The sequence below is a fragment of the Homo sapiens genome, chromosome 22, assembly GCF_000001405.40.
Source record: "Homo sapiens chromosome 22, GRCh38.p14 Primary Assembly".
NCBI lineage: Eukaryota > Metazoa > Chordata > Mammalia > Primates > Hominidae > Homo > Homo sapiens.
Window position 1 is genome coordinate 38,188,899 of NC_000022.11, and position 11,019 is coordinate 38,199,917.

At 50.5% G+C, this 11,019-nt stretch overlaps 1 annotated feature.

The window, feature by feature from the left end:
- Positions 10,184 to 10,233: an enhancer, noted in NCBI's record as "active region_18999". NCBI's record gives its function as "activates an Ori minimal core promoter by ATAC-STARR-seq in GM12878 lymphoblastoid cells {active_cell/tissue: GM12878}" and the evidence as "EXISTENCE:reporter gene assay evidence [ECO:0000049][PMID:35858748]".

Genomic DNA, 11,019 nt, shown 5'->3' on the forward strand with positions numbered 1-11,019 from the left:
TGGTTCTCAGGAACAGGGAACCAGGGAGCTTCACAAGGAAGCTGGCTTAAACCTGAGTCCTGAAGGATGGTGAAGGATGGAGAAGGGTGGAGAGGGATGGAGAGGAATGGATAGGGATAATGAGGGATGGAGAGGGATGGTGGGGGATGGTGGGGGATGGAGAGGGATGGAGAGGGATGGTGGGGGATGGTGGGGGATGGTGGGGGATGGAGAGGGATGGTGAGGGATGGTGAGGGATGGTGAGGGATGGTGGGGGATGGAGAGGGATGGTGAGGGATGGTGAGGGATGGTGAGGGATGGTGGGGGATGGAGAGGGATGGAGAGGGATGGTGGGGGATGGTTAGGGATGGTGAGGGATGGTGAAGGATGGCGAAGGACATGAGGATTTGGAGAGGCTGAGCAGGGGTATTTCAGGCAAAGATGCAGGGTGTGTGCCAAGCCTCTCACGATGGGGGAATCTAATGTGGAGTTCTTGAGGGTCAGAGTGTGCAAGCTCTTAATCCCTTTGTCCCTTCTCTTGTGCTTCTCGTCCTCATTTATGTTTTGTCAGCCATTAATTATGAAATACCTGCTATGTGCATGACCTTACTCTTTTTCTTTTCTTTTCTTCTTTTTGACTCAAAGTCTCGCTTTGTTGCCAGGCTGGAGTGCAGTGGCGCGATCTCAGCTCATTGCAACCTCTGCCTCCTGGGTTCAAGAGATTCCCCTGCCTCAGCCTCCTGAGCAGCTGGGACTACAGGCGCGTGCCACCACACCCGGCTAATTTTTGTATTTTTAGTAGAGACGGGGTTTCACCATGTTGGCCAGGATGGTCTCAATCTCTTGACCTCATGATCCGCCCACCTCGGCCTTCAAAGTGTTGGGATTACTGGCATGAGCCACCATGCCTGGCCGGCCTTACTCTTAGTATGGTGGGGACACTAAAGACATCTCTATTCTTGTCCTTGGGGCTCACAATTTAATACAAACTTGTCTCAGATATACAGATAATAGTTTATTGTGAAAAAGCACTGGAATATAAAGGCAAATATATTTTTCCATATCATCGCATGTTCTATGGTCTGAATGTGTGTATCACCCCAAAATACTTTTTATTTATTTTTTATTGTTTTGAGATAGAGTCTTGCTCCATCGCCGAGGCCGGAGTACAGTGGCATGATCTCGGCTCTCTGCAACCTCCACTTCCCGGGTTCGAGCGATTCTCCTGCCTCTGCCTCCCCGAGTAGCTGGAATTACAGGCGCCCACCACCAAGCCCAGCTAATTTTTGTATTTTTAGTAGAGATGGGGTTTCATCATGTTGGCCAGGCTGGTCTTGAACTCCTGACCTCAAGCTATCTGCTTACCTCAGCCTCTCAAAGTGCTGGGATTACAGGGGTGAGCCACTGTGCCCAGCCCCTACCTTTTTTTTTTTTTTTTTTGAGACAGAGTCTTGCTTTGTCACCCAGGCTGGAGTGCAGTGGCTCAAACGTGGCTCACTGCACCCTCCATTTCCTGGGCCCAAGCAATCCTCCCACCTCAGCCTCCCAAGTAGCTGGAACCACAGGAGAGCACCACCACACCTGGTTAATTTAAAAAAATTTTTTTTGTAGAGATGGGGCTTGCTATGTTGCCCCAGCTGGTCTTGAACTCCTGGGCTCAAGCAATCCTCCTGCCTTGGCCTCCCAAAGTCCTGGTATTACAGGTGTGAGCCACCACACCCAGCCCTGATAATCCTCTTTTATGTCCCAGGGGCTCCTGAAATTCTACTGCAAATCACACATTCATGAGTAGGCTGAATCACTGTGCCCCCAGGATGCAATGGTAATGAAACGGAATTGCAGGGATCTCCAGAGAATCAATCCGTGTTTGGCTGCCCTGCCATAGCGTTACACAGGGCATGAGGGCAATCAGTGATATAAACACAGTCCCCACTGTCAGGGAGCCAAAGGACATTGTAGGACCGAGGTCCCCAACCTTTTTGGCACCAGGGACTGGTTTTGTGGAAGACAGTTTTTCCACGGAGCCGGGGGATGGTTTGGGAATGATCCAAGTCCATTACATTGATTGTGCATTTTACTTCTATTATTATTACATTGTAATACATAATGAAATAATTATACAACTCATCACAATGTAGAATCAGTGGGAGCCCTGAGCTGGTTTTCCTGCAACTAGATGGTCCCATCTGGGGGTGATGGGAGACAGTGACAGATCATCAGGCAGACAGATCATCATATTCTCATAAGGAATGCAAAACCTAGATCCTTCGCATGCGAAGTCACAATAGGGTTTGAGCTCCTATGAGAATCCAATGCCGCCGCTGATCTGAGAGAAAGTGGAGCTCAGGTGGCAATGTGAGTGAGCAATGGGCAGCGGCTGTAAATATGCTGTAAATATCGATGAAGCTTCACTCGCTCACCCGCCCGCCGCTCACCTCCTGCCGTGCAGCCGAGTTCCTAACAGGCCATCGACCCAGACCAGGGGTTAGGGACCCCTGTTCTTAGAAACTAATGATACTCTCTTCCTTCCTCCCTGTCTCGCCACAGCCTGACCCTCTTGCTTGAGCCTAGGACAAGGCCCAGTGGAACAAGGACAACTCCTCCATTCATCCCATTAACATTCATCATGCTCCCAGCGTAGGCACGGTGGCCTAGGCAGGGCATGGTGGCTCACGCCTGTAATCCCAGTACTTTGGGAAGCTGAGGCAGGCAAATCATTGAGGCCAGGAGTTCGAGGCCAGCCTAGCCAACAGAGTGAAACCCCATCTCTACTAAAATAAAAAATACAAAAAAAAAAATTAACCAGGCGTGGCGATGCACGCCTGTCATCCCAGCTACTTGGGCGGCTGAGGCGTGAGAATCGCGTGAACTCAGGAGGCAGAGGTTGCAGTGAGCCGAGATCACGACACTGCACTCCAGCCTGGGTGACAGTGCAGGACTGTGTCTCAGAAAAAAAGAAAAGAAGAAAGAAAAACATTGATCATGCTTCTGCTATGTGCCATGGCCCGGGCAAAGCTCTGGAGACACAAAAATGAAAGGATGTAATCCTGGTCCTCAAAAAGCATGTGGGTTAAGAGAAGACAGCCATGAAGACACAGAACACCGAGTCAGAGAGGAAAGTGCTATCATGAGGGATACACTGGTAGGTTTCCTACCTTGTACACAGGAACCTGAGTCAGCCTGGGGATGATCTGGGAAGCCTGCTGAACAAAGTGGCATCTGAGCTGGGGACTGAAGCACAAGCCGGGGAGGGAGTTCCAGGAAGAAGGACTGGGAAGATTGAAAGCACGAGGCAGTAGAAGAGAATGATGGGTATGAGGACAGAGTTCACGGTGGCTGCAGCTGAGAGGAGGTGGTGGAAGCAGGCAGAGGCCAGATCGAGGAGGCTTATGGAAAGAGTTTACACTTTGTCCTGACAGCACTGGGGAGCCATGGAAGGGTTGTGAGCAGAGCAGTAGCCTGGCCAAGTTTAGGTTTTAGAAAGCTCTCTCTATCCTCTGCATGGAGGCTAGAGGCAGGGGGACCAGGCAGAAGGCTGCTGCAATTGTCCTGGAGCCAGGTGCTGTGGCTTGAACAGAGGCCATGGCTGAGGGAAGAGAGAGGCTGGAGAGAAGTTAAGGAGATGAGATCACTGAAGCCTGGTGACTTGTTTGCTGTGGGAGGGAGGGAGAGGGTGAGGTGAGCATGATGGCCTGGTTTCTCTCCAGGGTGACTGGGGAGGAGGTGGCATCATCAACCTGTTGGAGAAATTAGGTGGGGAGGGTGGCGCTAAGCTCCACTGAGACAACGTGGAGTTAGACGTGCCAGGGAAGGGCAGGGGAAAATACATGTCATCCATGCAGTTGCTTAAGCAGATCTGGTCCATGAGAGACAGCTGGGAGCCCAAAATAGAGATCTGGGAGTCCTCAACATCAGGTGGCACCTGAAATCTTGAGGTAGGGATAAGGTTCCCCAGCAATAAGAAAAGAGGGCAAAGGCTAAAGCTCTGAGCCTCGCTAAGAATTAAGAGGCCAAGATGGAGGGCCAGGGATGAAAGCTGAAAAGATAGGAGGGAAATCTGAGCTTTAGAAGGCAAGGGGAGGTAGGCATGTGGCTGCATGCCTGTAACCCCAGCTATTCGGGAGGCTGAGACGGGAGGATGGCTGGAGCCCAGGAGTTCAAGGTTACAGTGAGCTATGATGGCACTACTGCACTCCAGCCTGGGCAAGGGAGGGAGACCCTGTCTCAAAACAAAGACAAAAACACCAAGGAGAAAACAGTGTTTCCAAAAAGAGGGGAAGAATAGGCCGGGCACAGTAGCTCATGCCTGTAATCCCAGCACTTTGGGAGGCCGAGGTGGGTGGATCACCTGAGGTCAGGAGTTCGAGACCAGCCTGGCCAACATGGTGAAACCCTGTCTCTACTAGAAATACAAAAATGCCGGGTGCAGTGGCTCACGCCTGTAATCCCAACACTTTGGGAGGCTGAGGCGGGTGGATCGTGAGGTCAGGAGATCGAGACCATCCTGGCTAACACGGTGAAACCCCGTCTCTACTAAAAATACAAAAAATTAGCCGGGCGTGGTGGCGGGGGCCTGTAGTCCCAGCTACTTGGGAGGCTGAGGCAAGAGAATGGCGTGAACCCAGGAAGCAGAACTTGCTGAGATCACGCCACTGCACTCCAGCCTGGGTGACAGAGCGAGACTCTGTCTCAAAAAAAAAAAAAAAAATTAGCTGGTCGTGGTGGCAGGCACCTATAATTCCAGCTACTCAGGAGGCTGAGGCAGGAGAATCGCTTGAACCCAGGACGCAGAGATTGCAGTGAGCCGAGATGGTGACACTGCACTCCACCCTTGATGACAAAGCAAGACTCCATTTCAAAAAAAAAGAGGAAAAAAATTAAAAGGAAGGGAGATTGCAACACCATTGCATGCTGTCAAAGGTCAAGACAGATTAGGGCTAAAATTGGACCTGGATTTAGTAACAAAGAGGCCACTGGGACCCCGGCCAGAGTCCCTTCAGAGGTTTCTTGAGGGCAGCCCTCAGCCCGTGAGGGATTGGGAATGAGAGGCAGTGAGAACCCAGAGGCAATGAGTGGGGATGACTTGAGGTTTGCCCACAAAGGGAAGAAAAAACAAGGGTGGGTGTTAGGGTGAGGGTGGAGTGAAAGGTGGGGTTCAGGGGTGGCTGCTAGAGATGACAGCCACTTGGAGACATTTCAGTCCCATCTCCAGTGTGGTGGCAGGTGCCTGTAGCCCCAACTACTTAGAAGGCTGAGGCAGGAGAATCACTTGAACCCAGGAGGCAGAGGTTACAGTGAGCTGAGATCTTGCCACTGCACTCCAGCCTGGGCAACGGGGCGAGACTGTCTCAGTAAAAAAAAAAAAAAAAAATCCAGACGACCCCAGTACCTACTGTTATTATTGTTTATGAATCTCGTTGATGTGCCTAAGAGCTGTCATCTCCCAAAATTCTATGAAGTATCTGTATCACCCCCACTTTATAGATGAGGAAACCGAGGCTAGGAGGGCTGAAGCCATTTGCTTCAGAGGGAGGGGATGGGGACTGGGGTGTGGGCATGGGGATTCTGGAAGGAGGAGAGGTAGGTTTAGGGCAAGACAAAGGACAGCCTCTGAAGGGACTGGGAGGGAGAGGGAAGGGCAGGTGCAGAGGGTCGAGGCAGTGCCTATCACATGGCCTCTGCTTCCTCTGGAAGTGGCAGGAGAGCAGGTTCGATGGAGATGAGGATGAAGGCCTGCGGATGAAGGAGAAAGGCGAGTACTCCAGGGATTCCTGGCAGCTCTGAGGATCTGGCTGTGACTGGAGAAGATGACCTTGTCGTGACCGCAGCTGTTGTTGCAGTGGTGGTTGTGGTCGCGATGGTGGCTTCTCTCCAGAAGCCAGAGCAGCTGGCATGCAGGAGTGAAGTGCACGGAGCAGCAGTGCCCCAGCGATGGTTTTACAGGCTTGGCACAAAAGGACTCAGACCAGGGCTGGCACATCTCCAGGTATATTGAAGCTGCTGGGGGTGGGGAGGGGGGGGAGGTTTTAGAGGGAAAATGATGGAGGGCTGGGGAAAAATGGAGCATGTGCAGTACTGTTTCAGGTTCCTAAAATATCAGTTTGCAAACATAAAAATGTATTCTCTAAAATAGGCAAAGCACACGAACAAAAGAAGAAAAAACCCAACTGGTTAACAAGCAAATGGGAATGTGTTCAAGCTCATTCCTATTCAGAGAAATGCAAATTTAAATACAATAACGTCATTTGCCTAGGAAATTAGCAGAGCTTAGACAATGAAAACTCCCAGTGTTGGTGAAGTGGAGACGAAAGGTTCATATTCACATGTGGGTGGGAAGGGCCCTTAGCAAATGGCTTCAGCCCTCCTAGCCTCGGTTTCCTCATCTATAAAGTGGGGATGATACAGATACTTCATAGAATTTTGTGAGATGACAGCTCTTAGGCACATAAATGTGATTCATAAGCAATAATACGCCTGTAGTCCCAGCTACTTGGGAGGCTGAGGCAGGAGAATGGCGGGAACCCGGGAGGTGGAGCTTGCAGTGAGCCGAGATCGGGCCACTGCCCTCCAGCCTGGGTGACAGAGCAAGACTCCGTCTCAAAACAAAAACAGTAACAGTAGGTACTGGGGTTGCTTGGATTTATTTTTATTTTTATTTTTTGAGACAGTCTTGCTCTGTCGCCCAGGCTGGAGTGCAGTGGTGAGATCTCAGCTCACTGCAACCTCCGCCTCCTGGGTTCAAGCGATTCTCCTGCCTTAACCTCCGGAGTAGCTGGGGCTACAGGCGCATGCCACCACACTGGGCTAATTGTTGTATTTTTTAGTAGAGACGAGAGTTTCACCATGTTGGCCAGGCTGGTCTCGAACTCCTGGCCTCAAGTGATCCACCTTGGCCTCCCAACATGCTGGGATTACAGGCATGAGCCACTGCGCCCGGCCCAATTGTTTGGGTTTGCTCAAACCTTTTTTCTCTCTGCTGAACAATCACATCTCCAGCCCAGACTCAGGACCCTTGTATTTGCAGAAAGTGGCCCTGGTCAAGAGTCACCCTCTGCCAGGCCCTGCCCGGTTTGCCTTAGGATTGACAAAGTAGAGGGAAGGGAAGAGGAGGAAGAAGGGGAGGAGGGCACAAGGTTCCTCCAGGATCCCACCCGGGGGTGCCCACGCGGAGAAATGGCGTGTGCTCTAATTATCGTCAGACTCTGAAGTGGCCCACGTGAAATATCGAATCTCTCCAGAACAAAACCCAGCAAATCATTCCGGCGGGGGCAGCAGGAGAGAGCGCAGCCCTCGAGTCGGACCAGCCTGAGTTTAAGTCCTTCTCTGCCAGGGACTAGCTGTGCAATACTGGGCAAGATTCCTCACCTGCCACGGTCTCGATTTCCTCATCTGCAACATGGCCATGATAATAGCTAAGTGCTAAGACATGGAGAGGATTGAGTGTGACCTGATACACGGGAGCACCACACCTGGCATCCAGGGTGTGGTCCCTTGGCCTCTGGGCGAACTGATCACTCTGTCCATTTCCTCTGCTTTTGACACCAGGGACCATTTCGTAGAAGACAACTTTTCCACAGATGAGGGTGGGGTGGGGGTGGAGAGTGGGGAGTGTGGGTGGGGGATGGTTTCGGGATGAAACTGTTCCAGTGGCCAGGCGCGGTGGCTCACGCCTGTAATCCCAGCACTTTGGGAGGCTGAGCGGGGCAGATCACCTGAGGTCAGGAGTTTGAGACCAGCCTGGCCAACATGGTGAAACCCCGTCTCTACTAAAAATACAAAAATTAGATGGGCGTGGTGGCGCGTGCCTGTAGTCCCAGCTACTTGGGGGAGGCTGAGGTGGGAGAATCAGTTGAACCCAAAAGGCGGAGGTTGCAGTGAGCCAAGATGGCTACACTGCACTCCAGCCTGGGGGATAGAGCGAGACTCTCTCCAAAAAAAAAAAAAAAAAAAGAAACTGTTCCACCTCAGGTCATCAGGCATATCTGGCCGTAGTTAGATTCTCACAAGGAGCACACAACCTGGATCCCTCAAAAGCGCAGTTCACAATAGGGTTCACGCTCCTAATGAGACTCCAATGCCAGTGCTGATCCTACAGGAGGCGGAGCTCAGGCGGTGACGCTCACTCAGCCCGCTGGTTCCTAACAGGCCACGGACAAACAGTACTGGTCCTCAGCCTGCGATTTGGGGACCCCTGCTGTAGAGGACTCCTCTCTCTAACCTGATATTATTGATCTTTTATTATATACTAAGCGCTGTGCCAGAGGCTTATAAGTGCAAACACATTATGTTGTTTCACAGCCTGCAAAGGAGGCACTATTAGCCCGGTTTATAGAGGGTGGAGATGACGTCAGCTGATGAGGCGTGGGGCCAGGATCTGAACCCGACAGGCTGACTTGAGAGTCCCTACTTTCAAAAAACAATTTTTTTTTTGAGACAGTCTCGCTCTGTCGCCCAGGCTGGAGTGCAATGGCGTGATCTCGGCTCACTGCAACCTCTGCCTCCCAGGTTCAAGCAATTCTCCTGCCTCAGCCTCCTGAGTAGCTAGGATTATAGGCATGTGCCACAACTCCCGACTAATTTTTTTTTTTTTAATTAAGTAGAGACAGGGTTTTGCATGTTGGCCAGGCTGGTCTCAAACTCCTGACCTCAAGTGATCTGCCTGCCTTGGCGTCCCAACGTGCTGGGATTACACTGCGCCTGGCCAAATTTTCTTTTCTTATAAGGACACTGGTCAGATTGGATTAGGGCCTACCGTATATATTTTAATTTACTTATGCCTTTTAAAACTTTATCTCCAAATACAGTCACATTCTGAGATTTTTAGGCATTAGGACTTCAACATACACATTTTAACATTATGAAATTCCACCCATAACACTATCTATCTATATGTATTATTTTCAGAACCATGTCAGAGTAAATTGCAAACATGATGCCTTTTACCTCTAAATACTCTAGTGGGCCAGGCACGGTGGCTCACACCTGTAATCCCAGCTCTTCAGGAGGCCGAGGCAGACAGATGACCTGAGGTCAGGAGTTCAAGACTAGCCTGGCCAACATGGTGAAACCCCCGTCTCTACAAAAATACAAAATTTAGCCGGGCATGATGGTGGGTGCCTGTAATCCCAGCTACTCAGGAGGCTGAGGCAGGAGAATCACTTGAACCCAGGAGGCAGAGGTTGCAGTGAGCCAAGGTCGCACCATTGCACTCCAGCCTGGGTGACAGAGCAAGACTCCATCTCAAAAAAATAAATAAATAAATAAATAAATAAATACTCCAGTGTATATTTCCTAAAATCAAGGACACATTCTCTTCTATGACCACAGGACAAGCATTGAAGCCAGGAAGTTGGGCATCCATGCAGTAATTACCTCATCTACAAACTCCGTGGCAATTTGCCCCTTACTGGTGATATTAACTTTGATCACTTAGCGAAGGTTGTGTCTGCCAAATTTCTCCACTGCAGAGTTATTATTTTTCCTTCCATAATTAATTATCATCTTGTGGGTAAATAACTTGAAACTATGTAAATACTTTCTCATCAAGCTTTCATATCCATTGGTGATTCTTGCTGCAACCCATGATTACTATGGTGGCTGCCTGATGGTCATTTCTTTTTTTTTTTTCTTCCTCTTCTTTTTTTAATAGAGACAAGATTTCGCCATATTGCCCAGGCTGGTCTCAAACTCCGGGCTCAAGTGATCCTCCTGCCTCGGTCTCCCAAAGTGCTGAGAATACAGGTGCGAGCCACCATGCCCAGCCTGAGCTCCCACTTTTAAATAGGACATTGCACCATGGCCCTTGATCTTGACCAGAAAGGGAGCTATGTCTATGGGAAGCAGTCCCTGCAGGGTGGATAATGAGGCACTGACCCCCTTGTTCTGGCAGGCTGGGGATGGGAGTAAAGGATCTAGGCAGCATGGTGTCCAGGAGTGTTGTTCAGGTCCACTGAGAATTCACTCACTAGCTGAGCACCTACAGTGTTCCAGGTGTGGCCCCAGCTCTTGAGAAGCTCATAAAAAAGGGAGTAGATTGGGAGGCTGAGGCAGAAGGAAGGCTTGAGGCCAAGGGTTCAAGATCAACCTATGCAATATGGTGAGACCTCCATCTCTGCAAAAAATAGAAAAATTATCCAGGCACAGTGATGCACACTTGTAGTCCCAACTACTCGGGAGGCTGAGGTGAGAGGATCGCTTGAGCCCAGAAGTTCAAGGCTGCAGTGAGCTATGATCATGCCACTGCACTCCAGCCTGGGCAACAGGGCAAGACCCTGTTTTGTTTTGTTTTGGTTTTGGTTTTAAAGGGGGTGGGGGGTAGAGAAAATAGACAACTCACCATTGTGCAGTTTCTAAAACTGAGAACTTTCCTACCCCAAAGGTTAACCTAGGTGGCTCTTTCTGCTATGCACATGGAGAGGACTGAGCAATTGGTTTTTAGAGATCCTTTTGAGTGCTAGACAAAGCTGCCTCAACATTTGGTCACTTGGGAAACTAGTGGGCCAATTTGCATACCAAACCCACAGCCTGTGGGAGGGAACGGAAAGAAGCCATAGTGTCTGGTGGACCAAGGCACAGAGGCAGGAAAGCAAGACAAGGGCGCTGAAATCGAATTTGCTACATCAAGGAAAGTGGGGGGCTGGGCGCGGTGGCTCACGCGTGTAATCCCAGCACTTTGGGAGGCCGAGGCGGGTGGATCACGAGGTCAGGAGATCGACACCACGGTGAAACCCCGTCTCTACTAAAAATACAAAAAAAAAAAATTAGGAGGGCGCGGTGGCGGGCGCCTGTAGTCCCAGCTACTCGGGAGGCTGAGGCTGGAGAATGGCGTGAACCCGGGAGGTGGAGCTTGCAGTGAGCTGAGATCGCGCCACTGCACTCCAGCCTGGGGCAACACAGCGAGACTCCGGCTCAAAAAAAAAAAAAAAAAAAGGAAAGTGGGGATCCTTACTGGTGATCAGGGTGCCACATAGAGGCCTACCCATTTGGAGAGGCCCTATGCCCTCCACAGTGGAGTAAGTGCCATGATGTCGGCTTCACAGG